At 39.7% G+C, this 20,050-nt stretch overlaps 1 long non-coding RNA gene and 2 pseudogenes across 1 annotated transcript; 2 read left to right on the forward strand and 1 right to left on the reverse strand.

Moving 5' to 3' along the window:
- Nucleotides 1–2,463: 2,463 nt before the first annotated feature.
- Nucleotides 2,464–5,479, reverse strand: LOC124904996 (uncharacterized). Its single transcript, XR_007067807.1, has 2 exons — nt 5,058–5,479; nt 2,464–3,736 (listed from the first exon to the last, which is right to left on the reverse strand). It is a non-coding gene; the product is annotated as an uncharacterized LOC124904996 (long non-coding RNA).
- MTCO3P26 (MT-CO3 pseudogene 26) lies at nt 13,734–14,336 on the forward strand (annotated as a pseudogene).
- Nucleotides 14,767–15,608, forward strand: MTCO1P1 (MT-CO1 pseudogene 1; annotated as a pseudogene).

Below are 20,050 nucleotides of genomic sequence, written 5' to 3' on the forward strand. Positions count from 1 at the left end.
GAGACCAGATGGCACCACTGCACTACAGCATGGGTGACAAAAGGAGACCGTCTTTAAATAACTAAAGAAAAAAAGAAAGTATACAATTGAGTGGTTTTTAGAATATTCAAGGAGCTGTGCATCCATCACCACAGTCTTTCTTAGAAGTGATTACCCACTTGTGAGTTACCCACTTATGAGTGAGAAACCCTCACCTCTTAGCCGCTACCTCCTACGTACCCCATGTTCATAGGCAACCAGTGATTTATTTTCTGTCATTGTAGTTTTGCCTAATCTGGACCTTTTATAGAAATAGAATTGTACAATGTGTGATCTTTTGTAATTTGCTTTTTTTTCTCTTAGCAGAATGTTTTCAAATTTCTTTCATGTTATAGTGTGTATCAGGATTTCTTTCCTTTTGTAGCTGAGTAATATTTTATGTTTATCCATTCATTAGTTGATGGACATTTGTGTTGTTTTTGCGTATTCACCATCATGAGTCAGGCTGCTATGAACACTCGTACGTAAGTTTTAGTGTGAACATATATTTTTATTTCTCTTGGATTTACACTCAGGAGTGAAATTGTTGCATTATGTGATTACTATACATTTAGTCTTTGAGAAACTGCCACGTTGTTTTTCAAAGTGGTTACACTGGTCAGGCACAGTGGCTCACACCTTTAATCTCAGGTATTTGAGACGCTGAGTTTGGAGGATTTTCTTAGCTCGGGAGTTCAGGACCACCCTGGGCAACATAGGGAAACAATATCTTGATTTTTTAAAAAAATCAAATGCCAAGAAAACACCCAAATTGATTACACCATTTTATATTCCCACCAGTAATGTATGTGAGTTCCAAGTATTCCAATTGTCACCAACTTTTTTTTTTTTTTTGAGACAAAATCTTGCTCTGTTGCGCAGGCTGGAGTGCAGTGACATGAACATGGCCAGTGCAGCTGTGACCTTCCAGGCACAAGTGATCCTCTCACCTCAGCCTCCTAAGTAGCTGGGACTTACAGGTGCATGCTATCATGAGCAGCTGATTTTTACAGTTTTTGGTAGAAATGGGGTGTTGTCATGTAGCCCAGGTTTGTGTCAAACTCCTGAGCTCAAGTGATCTGCCTGCTTCAGCTTCCGGAAGTGCTGAGATTACAGGTGTGTGCCACCATGCCCGACTGGTGTAACCACTTTGGAAAGCAGCCACTGAGCCCGGCCTTCACCAGTATACCAATATTTGTTAATATCGTTTTATTTTTTACAATTTTTAAATTTTTAAAAACTTATTATTTTACCTGTATTATTGATTATAATAAACAACGAATAATTTTGTAGTAGAGTTGAGTCCCCCCAAAAAGTATTTATTGTTTAACTGAAGTAGTTTTTTTTTTAACCTGGATATATATTTTTTCATTTTCACTTTATTTTTAGTGTTTATTTTTAAAAATTATTTATATGTATTTTTATTTTAATAGGTGTTTGAGAAACAGGTGGTGTTTGGTTCCATGAATAAGTTCTTCAGTGTTTATTTCTGAAATGTAGTACCCCTCATTACTCATTAAATTATATATTAAGTCATTATAAAATCATTAATAAACCAAGGACTTTAGTAAAATGGGAATTTTATTTTAACTTGCAACCTGGGACGTAACTGTCAAAAAAATTAGAGAAATTACCACATTAAGGTTTTCAAATCTTGAACTGAAAAATGAAAACCTTGGTGCACCTAAGAACCACCAGCCCACTGGTCAAAGTGAACAAAACTAAATGAAAAAATAAAACCAAGAAAACCAAACTCAGGATTATTAGGTATTCTGTAATGCTATTTTATCTTTGGACTCACAGAAAATAATTATTATTATTATTACTATTATTATTATTATTATTATTTTGATATGGAGCCTCACTCTGTCACCCAGGCTGGAGTGCAGTGGTGCAATCTTGGCTCACTGCAACCTCTGCCTCCTGGGTTCAAGTGATTCTCCTGCCTCAGCCTTCAGAGTAGTTGGGATTACAGGCAGGTTCCACCATGCCTGGCTAACTTGTATTTTTGATAGAGACAGGGTTTCACCATGTTGGCCAGGCTGGTCTGAAACTCCTGATCTCAAGCAATCTGCCTACCTCAGCCTCCCAAAGTGCTGGAATTACAGGCATGAGCCACTGTGCTCAGCTGAAAATAGTTAATTTTATGTATATTTCAAGTCAGAATACAACCTATTTTTGAATATTTGATGACTTTAGGATACTATATTAAATCTTAATTGAATTAATACAAGTTTAGGTGTAAAGATGATGTTTATGTTGACAAAAATTATTAGTGTTTTACATATATGAAAGTAACAATATCATATATTTTTCGTACTTGTAGAATACTTTGAAATCTATTATTAGCTAACATTTTATATTCATTTTGGGTTTTCACATTATTGTTAGATCCAGAGAAAAGTAATATTTTCTGAATACTCAAATCATAAACATTTTGCTGGATGCATTCATAGATACTTTATTTAAAAAGTACACTAATTGAAGTTTTACACCATTTTATGATTCATCAAACACAGCAACTGAATACTGGCGTATAGCAACATTTCAGATGATGTTAGTCTAAGATAAAACTCATAACACATTTTAAAAAGGGTAAAAGGAAGGAAAGGAAAAAGGATACAAGGCTGTAGAAAGATTTTAAAAACAAACGTCGTATGTCTGAACCTTTGCCTGGAGTTTCATATTTTGTGAAAAGCAGTTTGTAAGTAGAGGACTCGTAAGTGCACCTAGTACACTGCAATGGCACAGACACGGCAGATAGTCAATAAAATGATCTTTAACTTCTGATCTAGGTTATTTTTGTTGTTGTTCATGTATTAACCTAGTGAAACTCAGCCAATAGATGGAGTGGCATTGACCTGTACAACTTCCAAAATCCCATCCAACCTTAGTGTCCTCTGAAGTTCTCCATAACTTATTGTCTGTTCCTACCAACATTTAGCATAAGCTACAGCTTATATTGTTAATAATTCTTCTATGTTTATGTGCTGACTTGCAAATAAATGGGCCTATATAGTCTTTATCTAGTGTTGGATTGGGATCAAAAGCTTCATGAAATCATTGTTTTTAGTATACGTACAGATGGATAATTGTATAAATAAGTACAGATGTGTATAAATGTGTGAGTATACATACATATATTTTCTAGCTCCTCTAACAAAAGGGCCTAGAAACAACATCATCCCAGTAACAATGAGAACACCACTCTCCAATTAAAGGAACCAAGGCTCCTTGGGGACATATTTGATATCAGGATTGGGCAGGGAAAATACAAGATTAGTTTGAAATATTTTGTCATGTTAGGAAGTAAGGAAATGCTCACAAAATGGGGAAAATGTGAAAGGGAAACAGATCCACTTTGAATAAACTTCCATAGCCAAATTTGAGAAAATTGGGGCAATAAAATAGATAACAATAGTAATATATTACAATCTACAGAAGAAAATTTTCAATTAATCCAGGCCGGGTGCGGTTGCTCATGCCTGTATTCCCAGCACTTTGGGAGGCAGAGGCGGGCAGATCACTTGAGGCCAGGAGTTCGAGACCAGCCTGACCAATGTGGTGAATCCCTGCCTCTACTAAAAATACAAAAATTAGCCGGGCATGGTGGCACATGCCTGTAGTCCCAGCTACTCCGGAGGCTGAGGCAGGAGAATGGCTTGAATCCCAGAAGGTGGAAGTGTAGTGAGCGGAAGTCGCACCATTGCACACCAGCCTGGATGACAAAACAAGACTCCAACTCAAAAAAAATCCATATTGACATAAATAATAAACCAAAGATTGAGAATGGGTAGTATTTTATTACAGTAAGATTTCATTAAATGTAGGAGACATAAAATATAAGAATCATCACTTTGCAAATATCATAGTAATAATTGTTGCAAGAAAGAACCTTGGAGGGATGCTAAGATTAGTGGTGAGTATATGTTGGGAAAGAACATATTTGCATAATATGAAAGTATCTTCCCACAAGATAATTACAGAATAGTAACTTCAAAGTGGAGATGTCAACTTAGCCAAGTGATCAAAGTTAACATTACTAATAATAAGATAAATGAACTTCATGTAACTTCTTATATGATGCACTGAGTAGGACAAAACATCAATTCTATGGTATTCTTAGACAAAATGTATAACTTTAGTCCTAACCGTGAGAAAACATCAGACTAACTGAAATTGAGGAGGGACATTCTACAAAATAACTGCCAGTATTCATCAAAAGCATTTTAGAAAGACTGAGGAATTCTCCAGAGACATGGAGGCATGTTATCTAAGTGCAATGGAGAACATGCATTGTATCATGAACCAGAGATGGACAACAGTAGGATATGTACAATAACACCCCAACATTTGAACATTACACAAAATACTTCAGAAAAGCCTATTGGCCAAGAAAAGTTTCACACACAAAAAAAATAGTTTAAACTGAAAGAAAATTTTTTAAAAACTTAATAAAATGTGGGATGCAGATAAATCGTTTCTTAAAGGTACATTTATAGATGTAATATATTGAAAATAAAAGGCTTCAATCAATGACCTTTAGGTTCTTTTTTAAGAGGCTAAAAAATGAGCAAAGTATATCCAAATTAAGAGGAAGGAAGATGATAAAGATAAAAATGTAAACCAACAACATAGCAAATAACAAAAGGTGGAGCTAATTAATATACCCACAAATTGGTTCTTTGAAAAAAATTTTTTAATAAACAATGGCTAGCAAGATTTATCTCGAAAAAAATTACAGAAGCTACATAATGTAGATAATGGGAATTAAATAGAGGATGTAACTACAGAACCTACAGACATCAATATAATTATGAAAACTTTAGGCCAATACATTTGACAATTAAAATAACATGGGAAATTATTTGTAAAACTAATTCTTAAAACTAATGCAAAATGAAATAGAAAAAGTAATAGCTTCTCTATGTATTGAAGAATTTTTTTAATTAAAAAAGATTTCTATAATTACAGGCTACATGCTTTCTCAGGTGAATTCTATCAAACATTTAAGAAAGTACAGAGAGTCCTCAACTTACAGTGGCTTGACTTGTGCTCTTCTTACTTGATAATGGTGCTTTCATCTGTGTACGTTAATGATGAGCATCAATATGACCAGTTTTTCACTATCAGTATAGTTTTCAATAAATTTCATGAGATACTCAATATTTTAAAATGGGCCTTGTGGTAGATGATTTTGCCCAATTGTAGGATAATGTAAGTGTTCTGAGCAAGTTTAAGGTAGGCGAGGCTAAGTCATGATATTCAGTAGGTTAAATATATTAAATGCGTTTTAGACTTACAATATTTTCAATTTAGGATGAGTTCATTAAGACATAAAACAATTGTAAGTTGAGGAGTATCTATAACATCAATCTTGAACGGACTCTTTTTAAGAAATAGAATTTAAGGGCCGGACACAGTGGCTCACACCTGTAATCCCAGCACTTTGAGAGGCCAAGACGGGCAGATCACCTGGGGTCAGGAGTTTGAGACCAACCTGACCAGCATGGAGAAACCCCCGTCTCTACTAAAAGTACATAATTAGCAGGGCATGGTGGCGCTTACCTGTAATCCCAGCTCCTTGGGAGACAGAGGCAGGAGAATAGCTTGAATCTGGGAGGCAGAGATTGTGGAGAGCCGAAATTGTGCCATTGCACTCCAGCCTGGGCAACAAGAGTGAATCTCCGTCTCAAAAAAAAAAAAAAAAAAAAGAAAATTTAAAGGGACATTTCCTATCTTATTTTATGAACCCAGTATTGCCGATTCCAAATCGAGACAAAGGCATTATACAACTTTGATGTTTATCCCTCATAAACATAGACTCAAAAGTCCTTAAAACATAATAACCAATTGAATGTAGCAGTACATAGAATGGATAATAAACTGTGAACCAATTAAATTTCTAGCAAGATTGCAAAGTTAATTTATTATTTGAAAGATCAGTTTAATCAATTTCATTCACCTGGATGGTTACACCTGGCAAAACTCAGCAAACTGTGCACTTTAAAATAGTATTTATTTTATGTAAATTATGTTTCAATACAATTGATTTTTTAAGAAAAAAAAACGTTTCCCAGAGTGATCAAAGTGGAGGGCAGGGAACAGTAAACATCAGTGCTTATGTTATAGCTACTAAAAGCCTCCCAATTCCAACGACATGCTTTCAAGCAGGTCTGATCCTTCCCCTGGAGGATACCTCTGACCCAGGTGTGCTACAAATGCATTGCCCCTAGTTGCTTCTGTCACCTTAGTGATGGAAGTGACAAGAGGGTACTGGAGAAAGAAAAGGTGTACAAGGTTCCAAATGTACATTCTATTTCCAAAGGACATTTGTGAAGCCAGTGGAAAGCGAACAAACAAGCTGCTAAATAAGTCACAAGTGTGTTCTCGTACAGTTTTGCGATTAACTAAATAGGACATTCAACAGATAAAATTTGTTTTACATAGTTACTCCTCTAACAGGATGAACTTGTGGATTGTGAGATAGGACTGATATAACCTGTTTTCTCTCTGCCTCTTTTTTTTCCCCCAAGTTTTGTGTGCAATACATTAGGAAAAATATAATTGGGCTACAAAGCTACAAAAATGGCTTCCTGGCAGTTCCATGCTTGTTTCCATGTGGTGCCTATGTTTGGCACTATGTTCTCATTTGCACTTTCCTACTTGATTAGTTAATGTATGAAGGACAAGCCTGATCTCTACTGTGAATTTTTACCAAGGTATTCTAGTAGAAAAATGAGTATGTAATGGTGCTGTGGAATGCTAAAGTGTGTAAAACATTAAGAATCTAAAAATTTGCTCATTTCCAAGTTTTGTCCCAGAGCAACTGTGCACTCTGATTATATCGCTACTGCTATTTAAAGTTATCCATTTGCATGTCTAAAAAATAGATTCATACTGATTGTCCCATTTTGATCTCAAAAAACTCCTGAATATGAGAGTCGTGATCAAGGGACGCTTCATGAAATGTTCCAAAGTTAAAGTGTGCAATGAAACCAGATTTATCATAGCCTTATTTAAAATAATTATTTCTAAAATTGTTATTGTTTAATTATAAACGGTATCCTTTCAGGATACTTGGAAGATCCATAGCAGTGTTTTTATTTTCACAGAACAAGCATAAATTATTTATGAAATAATAACTCAGATACAGAGATTACTTCCTATTGGCCTTACATATGAATATAAATAAATACATATTATGAACATGAGCATACTTATTTTATAATTATGTAAACGTGTGTGTAATGTTATATATAAGTTCAATAAAGTCATGCTTATACATGGTTTCAATTCATGCTTCTAAAAACCACTCAATGTAGTCATTATCATATGTTAATAAATAATCTCTGAAAATGTGCTTCTAGTAGTTGCACAATATCCCATCATAAAGATTGTCATGCTGTTTTTAAATCATACTTTTGGGTATATAAGTTATATCTGATATTTTTCTGCTACATATATACTATTATAAATCTATTAGTAGCTGATTTTTTGTCAACACATATGATTGTTTCCTCACAATAGTACAAGAGTTGGTTGTAACTTTATTTCCTTCCAACATTTATTTTAGGTTCAGCGGGTACATGTGCAGGTTTATTATATGGGTAAAATGTGTGTCAATGGGATTGGTGTACAGATTACGTAGTCATCCAGGTAGTGAACGTAGTATCTAATAGGGAGTTTTTTGATCCTCACTCTCCCCCAACTCTCCACCCACAGTAGACCTTGTGTCTATTGTTCCCTTCTCTGTGTCCATGTGGACTCAATGTTTAGCCCCCACTTATAAGTGAGAACATGCAGTGTTTGTGTGGTTTTCTGTTCCTGCATTAATTCACTTAGAATAATGGTATCCAGCTCCAATCATGTTGCTGCAAAAGACATTATTTCATCCTATTTTATAGGTGTGTAGTATTCCATGGTGTATGTACGCTGCATTTTTTTAATCCAGTCTTCTGTTAACAGGCATCTAAGTTGATTCCGTGTCTTTGCTATTGTGAATAGTGTTATAATGAAAATTTGCGTACATATGTCTATGACAGAATGATTTATATTCCTTTGGGTATATACCCAATAATGGGATTGCTGGGTTGAATGGTAGTTCTGTTTTAAGTTATTTCAGAAATCTCCAAACTGCTTTCCACAATGGCTGAACAAATTTACATTCCTGATGAAACTGGAGACTTCCCTGACTCCCCTTGGCAGGATGTGCAACAGGGGTGTGGCTTGTCTGGCCACCGTGTGTGCTGTCAAACCCCTTACTGGGCAGGGAGGCATGCAGACAGGCAGGTGCAATAGGCAGGGCAAGTGGCCATGGTACTGTCTAGGGGTGGGTTCCTGCGACTCCCACAGCCCAAGTGGGCATGTGTTACAGTGCACTCTTTTAGCTTTGCCATCCACAGATGGCTTAAGTGTTAACCTGTTCAGTGCCCTCTTGGTACCCAGTTCCTTGTCCAGCATCCAGAAAGAATTAAGTTGCACACAGACTTGAGGATGGTGAATGTGGGGGTTTTATTGAGTGGTGGAGGTGGCACTCAATGGGATGGATGGGAAGCTGGAAAGGGGATGGAATGGGAAGATGATCTTCCCCGGGAGCTTTGCCATCCAGAGGCTGATCTCTCCAACCACTGCCAGCCAAACTCGTCTTGGCATTCAGATGCTCCTTCTCTTCTTTCTGCCACATCATTCTGCAATTCTCCTCTTCTGTTCATCTCCTCATCTGCTTGTCTGCTTCTGGAGCCTGGGGTCTGGGGCATATATGGGTACAGGACAGGGGGTGCATGGTGAGCTGAAAGACAACTTTTGGGTGCAAAAGCAGGAATGCCTGTTCCCATTTAGGGCCATGGGTTTCCAGGCTTGTGGGCAGGGCTTTGCCAGGGAACCACTCTCTTCTACCCAGTAGTTCCCTGTCTCCTTTCTATATCACCACCAGCAGTGTATAAGCATTCCCTTTTTTCCACAAACTTGGCACCGTCTGTTATGTTTTGATTTTTTAATAATAGCCATTCTGACCGGTGTGATATGGTATCTCATGGTTCTGATTTTCTGATGATTAGTGATGTTGAGTATTTTTTCATATGGTTGTTTGCCATACATACGTTGTCTTTTGAAAAAAGAATCCACAGACGGCTTAAGTGTTAACCCGTTCAGTGCCCTCTTGGTACCCAAGTCCTTGTCCAGCATCCAGAAAGAAGTTGCACATGGACTTGAGGATGGTGAATGTGGGGGTTCATGTTCTTTGCCTATTTGTAGTGGGTTTGTTTTTTGCTTATTGATTCTTTATACATGCTAAGTATTAGACCTTTTTCAGATATGTAATTTGAAAATATTTTCTTCTGTTCTGTAGGGTGTTCTCTGTTGATAGTTTCTTTTGCTGTGCTGAAGCTCTTTAGTTTCATTAGGTCCCACTCGTCAATTCTTCTTGTTGCAATTGCTTTTGGAATCTTCATCATGAAATATTTGCCTGCGCCTATGTCCAGAATGATATTTCCTAAGTTTTCTTCTAGGGTTTATATAGTTTTGGGTCTTACATAAGTCCTTCATCCATCTTGAGTTGATTTTTGTATATGGTGAAAGGAAGGGAGTGTACATGCCCCTGTGATATTGTTCCTAATATCCAGGTTGGGAGAGGATATTATACTCAATATTGCAGGAAGTGTCGACCACCCTGAATGTTGCTTTTAATATCCGGGGAGAGAGGGTGATATTACTCCCAATATCATCCTCTCCCCCCACACCCTGCATAGTACAAGCAATATCAAAGGGGGTCTGTGCAACACGTGCAATATTGGGAGTAATATCCTCCCCCAACATGGATATTAGAAACAGTATCACAAGGGGTTGTACACCACCTGTGATATTGGGGAGTACTATCATTTTCTTTCCCCATGGATATGTAGAACAATATCACAAAGGTGGTGTACAACCCCTGCTATATTGGGAGTAATACTGTACTTTCCCCACCTAGATATTAGGAACAATATCACGGGGGGTTATACACCACTGCAACATTGGGAGTAATATCATCCTTTCCCTCCCTGGATATTAGGAACAATAACTCATGGGTGTCTACACCCTGTTCCATATTGGGATTAATATTTTCTCCCTTGCTGGACATAAGGAACAATATAACGGGGGGTATACACTCCTTATGATATTGCCAGTAATATTATAGACTCCCCCCAGGGATATTAGAAAGAGTATCAGAGAGGGGTGTACATCCCCTGCAATATTGGGAATAATATTCTTTCTTTCCCTGGATATTAGGAATAATATCACAAAGGGGTTGTATAACCCCCGTGACATTTTAATTAATATCATCTTCCCCACTGAATATTAGGAACAAATTCCCAGGGGGTTGTACACCACCTGCAATATGGACAGCTATATCATTGTCTCTCCCCCGAATATAAGGAACAATATCACAGGGTGGTTGTACACCCACTGTGATATTGGGAGTAATATCATCCTCTACCCCCTGGGTATTATGAACAATATCATGGGGAGGGGGTGTATGCCCTCTCTGATATTGGGAGTAATATCATCCTGTCCCCTCTGGATATTAGGAATGATATCACAGCGGGGCTGTACCTTTTCTGCACTATTGGGAGTGGTATCACCCTCTCCCCCTATGGATATTAGGAACAATATCACAAAGGGGGTGTACACATCCTGCGATATTGAGAGTAATATTGTCCACTCTTCCCCGAGATATTAGGAACAATATCACAGGCGGAGTGTACACCCCCTGCTATTTTACCTGTAATATTATTCTCTCCCAACCTGGATATTAGGAATAATATAACAGGAGGGGTGTACACCACCTGTGATATTGGGAGTAATATCATTCTCTCCCCCCATGGATATTGAGAACAATATCACAGGGGCGGTTTACACCTCCTGCGACATTTAGAGTAATATCATCCTTTTCCCCCATGGATATTAGGAATGATATCGCATGGGAAGTGTACACCCCCACCATATTGGGAGTAATATTTTCTCCATTGCTGGACATTAGGAACAATATCACGGGAATGCACACACCCTGCGATATTGCCAGTAATATCGTAGTCTCCTCCCAGGATATTAGGAACAATATCACAAGGGGGGTGTACATGCCCTGTGATATTGGAAGTAATATCATCGACTCCCCCCACGGATATTAGTAACAATATCAGAAGGGTGTACACCCCTTGCGATATTTATAGTACTATCATCCTATACCCCCTGGATATTAGGAACAATACCACGGGGGGTTTATACCCACTGTGATATTGGGAGTAATTTCATCCTCTACCCCTTGGATGTTAGGAGCAGTATCACAAGGGGGGTGTGCACCCTCTGTGATATTAAAAATAATACCATTCTCTCCTTCTCTGGATACTAGGAATAATATCACAGTGCTGGTGTGCACCTTTGGAGCAATATCATCCTCTCCCCAACTTGATATTAGAGACAATATCATGGGGGGTGGCGTGTAACACCCTGCACTGTTGGGAGTACTATCATCTAGTCTTCCCCTGGATATAAGAAACAGTATCACAGAAGGGGTCTACACCTCCTGAGATTTTGGGAGTAATATCATCCTCTCCAAATCTGGATATTAAGAACAGTATAATGGGGTGTGGGGAGTAATATGGTGGGAGTAATACAATCCTCCTCCCCACTTGCTATTAGGAACAATATCGCAAAACGTGTGTACACCCACTGTGACATTTGGAGTAATATCAACATTTCCCCACCTGCTATCATGGGGAGAGTGTACACTCCTTACGATATTGGAAGTATCATTGTCTCTCACTCTCGATATTAGGAAAAATAGCACAGGGTGTGTATACACTTCCTGTGATTTTGGGAAGAACATCATACCCTTCTGTCTTTGATATTAGGAACAATATCACAGAGGGGGTGTACAACTTCTGTGATATTATAATATTCTTTCTTCCCATGGATATTAGGAATGATATCCCGGGCGGCTTGTTGTACACCCCCTGTGATACGGACAGTAATATCATTGTCCTTCCCCCTACATATTAGAAACAATATCACAAGGGTGGTATACACCCCCTGGATATTAGAAACTATCACAGGGGGGCTGTACAACCTCTTTGATACTGTGAGTAATACCATTGTCTCCCCTCCTGGGTATTAATAACAATATCATAGGGTGGGTGTACACCCCCTGCAATATTGGGAATAATATCATCCTCTCTTCCCAGGGATATTAGGAACGTTATCACAGGTGGGGTTTACACCCCCTGCAATTTTGTCAGTAATATTACTTCTGGATGTTATTGAATATATCACAGTGGGGGTGTACAACCCCTGTGATATGGGGAGTAATAGCATCCTCTTTCCCACTGGATACTACAAACAATATCGCAGATTGTGTACAACCTCCTGTGATATTGTTCACAATATTTAGGGAAGGAGAGGATGATATTACTCCACATATGGCAGGGAGTGTTACATCCCCTGTAATATTGTTCATAATATTTAGAAGACGACAGGATGATATTACTCCCAATATAGTAGGAAGTATACACTCCCCTGTGATACTGTTCATAATTTTTAGGGGATTAGAGGATGATATTACTTCCAATATCACAGGGAGTGTACACTGGTGATATTGTTTATAACTTTCAGTGGATTAGAAGATATTATCCAGAATATCACAGGGGTTGCACACCCCAAGTGATATTGTTAATATCCAGTGGGAAAGAGGATGATATTACTCCCCATATCACGGGGGATGTAAACCCGTTTGTGGTATTGTCACTTACATCCGGGGGGGAGAGGATGATATTACTCTGCATATCATAGAGGGTGCACACGGCTGTAATGTTGTCCATAATAACATCCAGAGGGGAAGAGAATATTATTCCCATGTTTCAGAAGGTGTACACACCCCTGTGATAGTCTCTGTAACATTTAGGGAAGAAGGGGATGATACTACTCCAGATATTGCAGGGGGTGTACATCCCCCTGTGATACTGTTCGTAACGTTTAGGGGGAAGAGGATGATATTACTCCCCATATCGAAGGGATTGTACATCTCCCTATATATTGTCCATAACATCCAGGGCAGGAGAGGATATTACTACTCCCCATATCACAGGGGGTGGACACCCCCCTCTAAATATGTCTAACATCCAGGCGGGGACAGGAGGATATTTTTCCCCATAACCCAGAGAAAGTAAACCTCCTGTGATATTGTCCATAACATCCAGTGGGGAGAGGATGATATCACTCCCCATATTGCAGGGGGTGCACACTCCACTCTGATATTGGCCGTAATATCCGGGGGGGGGTGAAGTATGAAGTCACTACACATATCGCAGGGATTATTAGTATCAGATTGTTTGAAGGGCTCACAGTAAGGGTAGTAGTAGGGCGAGTTCTAACTCAAATAGGGGAAATGTGATGTCTACTAGAAAGAATTTTATGGAGAAGGGAATGTGGGCAGAGGATAGAGGGTCAAATCTGCATTCATAAGGGCTAGATTTTTCTATATATATTTATTTTATACATATATATATTTTTTTCTCTCTTCTCTACATATATATATTAAGTTGTGGGAGCCAAAATGTAATAATTATTAGTAACAGGGCTAATAGGGTGTTGATTACTAGGGTTAATGTTAGGTGAATTACTGTTTTTCGGATGCTATCAAAACTTTGGAAATCATGGTACTATTTATACTAAAAGAGTAAGATCCTCATCAATAAATAGAAACATACAAGAATAGTCATACTATATCTACAAAGTGTCGATATCAGGCAGCGGCTTCAAAGGCAAAATGATGACTAGATGTAAAGTGGTATTTTAATTGGCGGAGAAGGCAGACTGAGGAATGTTGATCCAATAATGATGTGAATTCTGTGAAAGCCTGTAGCTATAAAAAAATGTTGAGCCATAAATACCATCAGAAATAACAAAGGGAGCTTTGAAGTATTCTGAGACTTGTAGGAAGGTGAAGTAAATATCTAATATAATTGTAACAAGTAGTGCTTGGATTGTATGTTTTTGATTATTTTTTGTTAGGCTGTGATGGGCTCAAGTAATTGAAATTCCTGATGCAAGTAATACAGATGGATTCAGGAGAGGTACTTCCAGGGGGTCAAGGGGAGAAATACCTGTTGGGGGTCAATGCCCTCCTAATTCTGGAGTAGGGGCTAGGCTAGAATGGTAGAATGCTCAAAAGAATCCAGCGAAGAGGAATATTTCTGAGATAATAAATAGGACTGTCCCATATTGGAGGCCTTTTTGAACAGTTGTTGTATGGTGACCCTGAAATGTACTTTCTCAGATACAGAACACCCTTGGTCAATTGAATACAGATCAATCACTTTAAGTAAGCTAAGTCCTTACTAAATTGATGAGACTGAAACCCATGAAAACTTAACAGCTAAACTCCCTAGTCAACTGGTTTGAATCTACTTCTCCAGCAGCTGGGGGAAAAAAGGTGAGAGAAGCAGGATTGAAGCTGCTTCTTTGAATTTACAATTCAACATGAAAATCACCTTGGGACTGGTAAAAACAGGCGTTGACCTCTGTTTTTAGATGTACAGTCTAATGCCCTACTCAGTCATTTTACCCTTTTTTCTCACTTCATTTATGTTGGCTGACAGTTGACTATTCTCAACCAACCATAAAGATATCGAGACATTATATTTATTATTTGGCACATGAGCAGGGATAGTCAGTACAGCTTTAAATTCGAGCTGAACTCTACTAGATGATCAAATTTATGTCATTGTTATAGCCTATGCATTTGTCATAATTTTCTTTATGGTAATACTATAATTGGAGGTCTTGGCAACTGATTAGTCCCCCGATAATTGGCGCCCCCGATATAGCATTTCTCTGCATAAATAATATGAGCTTCTGACTCCTCCCACCCTCCTTCCTTTTATTACTTGCATCCACTATAGTAGAAGCCGGCACTGGAACCGGCTGAACAGTCTCTCCTCCCTTAGCAGTAAACCTAACACATGCAGGCGCCTCTGTAGATTTCACTATCTTTTCACTCCACTTGACAGGTGTTTCTTCTACTTCAGGGGCTATTAACTTTATTACCACAATTGTTAATATAAAACCCCCAGCCATGTCCCAATATCACACACCCCTCTTCATCTGATTAGTCCTAATTACAGCAGTTCTTCTACTCCTTTGTCTCCGAGTCCTAGCCGCCGGCATCACTATATTGTTAACTGACTGCAATCTTAATACTACTTTTTTCTATCTGGCTGGCGGAGGTGATCCTATCTTATTTCAGCATTTATTCAGATTCTTTGGTCACCCTGAAGTCTACATCCTCATCCCACTGGGCTTTGGGATAATTTCCCACGTCGTAACATACTATTCTGGAAGAAAAAAGAACCATTCAGGTATATGGGCCTAGTGTGAGCTATAGGATCAGTTGGGTCCTTACGGTTTATTGTATGGGCCCACCGTATATTTACGGTAGGGATAGTTGTGGATACATGAGCCTGCTTCACCTCTGCTATTATAATTATTGCTATTCCTACTAGCGTCAAAGTTTTTAGCTGACTAGCTAGCTACACTTCACGGCGGTAATATCAAATGATCCCCCGCAATGCTGTGAGCCCGGGGATTTATTTTCCTTTTTACAGTAGGAGGCCTAACCAGCATTGTATTGGCCGAGGCTTATATTATGGTTCATTCATATATTTAGAAACCTGAAAGTTTCTAAATAAGTTGTAAAAAAGTTGTAAAAAAACCCCAGCTGAAATAACTACGAAGGTGCCTTTAATATTCTGAAGACAAAATAGCTAAGATCCAAACTGGGAGTAGATACCCCGCTATGCTTAACTCTAAACTCGAATAGTTAGATCAACAAAACTGTTCGCCAGAACACTACAAGCAACAGCTTAAAACTCAAAGGACTTGGCGGTGCTTTATATCCCTCTAAAGGAGGCTGTTCTATAATCGATAAACCCCAATTTACCTCACCACCTCTTGCCCAGCCTAAATACCTCCATCTTCAGCAAACCCTGGAAAGGCCGCAGAGTAAGCACAAGTATCTACATAAAAACTTTAGTTCAAGGTGTAGCCCATGAGGTGGCAAGAAATAGGAACGTTTTCTACATCCAGAAAAATGTCGCGACAACCGTTATGAAATCTAAGGGCTCAAGGAGGATTTAGCAATAAATTGAGAGCAGAGTGTTTAATTGAATAAGGCCATGAAGCATGCACACACCGCCCGTCACCCTCCTCAAATACATTCTAGAAACTCATTGTACACTCCCCTGTGATATTGTCCATAATATCCAGGGAGGGAGAGAATGATTTGATTTTTTTTTTTGAGACAGAGCCTTGCTCTGTCGCCCGGGTTGGAGTGCAGTGGCCTGATCTTGGCACACTGCAAGCACCGCCTCCCAGGTTCACACCATTCTCCTGCCTCAGCCTCCCTAGTAGCTGGGACTACAGGCGCCCGCCACCACGCCCGGCTAATTTTTTGTATTTTTAGTAGAGACGGGGTTTCACCATGTTAGCCAGGATGGTCTCGATCTCCTGACCTCGTGATCCGCCCGCCTCGGCTTCCCAAAGTGCTGGGATTACAGGTGTGAGCCACCGCTCCTGGCCAGAGAGAATGATTTTACTCCCCATATCGCAGGGGATTTACATTCCCCTGCATTATTTTTCGTAATATCCAGGGGGAAGATGAAGATGTTACTCCCCATATAGCATGGGAGAACAATTCCCTGCGATATTGTTCATAATATCTCTGGGGGAAAGAATTATATTTCTCCTTTTATCGCAGGAAGTGTACACCCCCTTGTGATATTGTTTATAATATCTAGTGGGGGAGAGGATGATGCTACTCCCCATATTGCAGGGGGTGTACAACCCCCTAGAATATTGTTCATAATATCCACGCGGGGAGGAGATGATGTTACTACCCATATCGCCAGGGTGTACTGCCCCCTGCCATATTGTTTGTAATATCCAGGCTGGGAAAGGATGATATTACTCCCTGTATCACAGGGGATGTACACACCCCTGTGATATTATTAGTAATATCCATGGGGGAGATAATACTACTTCCAATACCATAAACACCCTGTGTGTACACCCTCTGTGATATTGTTTGTAATATCCAGGGTGGGAGAGGAGTATATTACTCCCTATAAGGCAGAGTGTGTATACACCCCTCTGTGATATTGTTCATAATATCCACTGGGGGATATGATATTACTCCCAATATCATAAACACCTCACATGTACACCGTCTGTGATATTATTTGTAATATCCAGTGGGGGAGAAGATGATTTTACTTTCCACATTGCAGGGGTTTACACCCCTCTGTGATACAGTTTGTAATATCTAGAGGGGGAGAGGGTTATATTACTCCTCATATCTCAGGACATGTACACCCCCTGTGATATTGTTTGTAATATTGTTCCCAATATCCTTTTCCCCCATGGATATAGGAACAGTATCCCATAGGACGTGTACACCCCCTGCCATATTGGAAGTAGTAGTGTTTTCTCCCTTGCTGGACATTAGGAACAATACCATGGGGGGGTGCACACCCCCTGTGATATTGACAGTAATATAATCCACTATCCCCTAAATATAGGAACAATATCACAATGGTGATGTACACACTTGGTGATATTGAAAGTGATATGATCCTCTCCCCACCTGAATATTGGGAACAATATCACAGAAGGGGTGTACACCCCCTGCGATATTGACAGTAATATCCTCTCCCACCCCCGGATATTAGGAGCAATGTCACAGAAGGGTTGTACACTCCCTGCGATATTGACAGTAATATCCTCTCCTCCCCGGATATTAGGAACAATATCACAGAAGAGGTGTACACCCACTGTGATATTGACAGTAATTTCCTCTTCCCCCCCGGATATTAGGAACAATACCACGGGGGGTGTACACCCCCTGCGATATTGACAGTAATATCATCCTCTCCCCGCCAGATATTAGTAACAATATCACTGAAGGGGTCTACACCCCCTGTGATAGTGACAGTAATATCCTCTACCCCCCAGATATTAGGAACAATACCACGGGAGGATGTACACCCCCTGTGACATTGACAGTAATATAAACCTCTCCCCCCACCCTGGATATTAGGAAGAATACCACGGGGGGTGCACACCCCCTCTGATATTGGGAGTAATATCACCCACTATCCCCTAAATATTAGGAACAATATCACAGGGCGGGGAGTACACCCTCTGCAATATTGGGAGTAATGTCATTTCCCTGCCCCTGCATACTAGGAATAATATCACAAGGGATGTACACCCCCATATGCTCTTGGGAGTAACATCACTCTTTCTTCCCATGGATATTAGGAACAATATCACAGAAGTGGTGTACATACGCTGCACTGTATAGAATAAAGCAGGCGGAGGAAGATGGGATAACCTTGCTAGCTGAAGCTTCTGGCTCTCTTTTTTTCTTCTTCCCGTGCAGGACACTTGCTTCCCTTCTTCCTGCCCTCGGACATGAGACTCCAGGTTCTTATGCCTTTGGACTCTGGGACTTGCACCAGCGGCTTCCCCGAGGCTCTCAGGCCCTCGGCCTCATACTGAAGACTGCACTGCGGGCTTTCCTGGTTTTGAGGCTTTTGGACTTGGACTGAGCCACTACTAGCTTCTCTCTTTCCCTACCTGGCAGACAGCCTATTGTGGGACTGCCTTCTAACCGTGTGAACCAATTCTCTCTCGTAAACTCCCTTATACATATACCTGTATCTTGTTGGTTCTGTCCCTCTGGAGAACCCTGACTCATACATTTTGTTTATTTTTTCTCCATTGCCCTTTCCTCTGCTTCTAGGCTTACCTAGACCACCACCATTCTTTCCCCCTTTCTAAAGTAAAAATTGTCTTTTTCTCACTAAATTCATGGCATTCTGCCCGTTTTCCATGGCTTTCCTCAGCCCTGCTCTGTTTATTCTTGCTATCTTAAGAGGAAATCCCTGCCTCTTCCGTGGCTTTTCCCACTTGGTCTACATACTGGTTTCTGTTGTTCTCAGAGACACACTGGGACCTTTCACATCTCACTGTCACTTCTTGGAAGGGCTCTCTACCTCGTCTGCCTGCTGAGCAACCTCTTGGGGAGACGCGGGCCCTCTTGAGTCACTGAACTTGAGCTATTTGGTGTTGGTATGTTAATTTATCTTCTTAGACCACTTACCACTTCTTTAACTTCAAAAGAGAAGAATAAGTATTATTTTCCATGGTTGATATGAAGAGTAGAAATAACTTATACAAAATGCATTGCAGTTAAGTGATAATAAATGGCCGTGAATGCCCTTATTAATGTTATTCTATCAGTCTCGGCTCAGATACCATCTGCTCTGTAAGCTCTGCTCTGAATCATATCTGCTTCTTCTCTGGGTTCCTTGTGCTCTGTTCTTAACTACTTTAAAGCAGTAATTGTTCTGATTCTAATTAGTGATCCTTCCCAATAAAATTTTAAATTTGTAGATCTCTTCCCCCCACCCCTGCCCCAGCCTAACCAGTGTTTTCTTACTTTTTTGTGTACAGGCTACATCACTGGTCTTTCATTTGTGGCTAAATAAATGTTGTGTTAGAAGAGTAAAGAGTTCCCAGTTACATGGGATCTATAGTTCTACAAAATGAATGTATACATAATCCATGTAAATATTCCACTTATTTTAAAACAATTTTTTAATTTTTAAATTAAATTTAATTTGTGCATGTGTGTGAGACCAGAGTGAGACCAGAGATGGCGGCGGTGAGGGGCGGTGGTCTCACCATGTTGCCCAGGCTGGTCTTGAACTCCCCTTGAAGTGCCCCCCTCCTCACCTGGCCCCCCTCACCTTGCCTCCTCCCCCTCACTCCTATGCCAGTCCCTGCCATTCCCTACCCCCTCTGCTGACCGCAAGACTCAACAAGTGACTTGCTGAGCAAACCCTGCTGAGAAGAGGTCTGTTTAGGGACACAGGAGGCCAAGTACACAAAAAAGCAAAAGAACTAGCATGACTTTTTCAATGGATGTCTATTTTAC

This window comes from Homo sapiens, chromosome 21, assembly GCF_000001405.40.
Source record: "Homo sapiens chromosome 21, GRCh38.p14 Primary Assembly".
Lineage (NCBI taxonomy): Eukaryota > Metazoa > Chordata > Mammalia > Primates > Hominidae > Homo > Homo sapiens.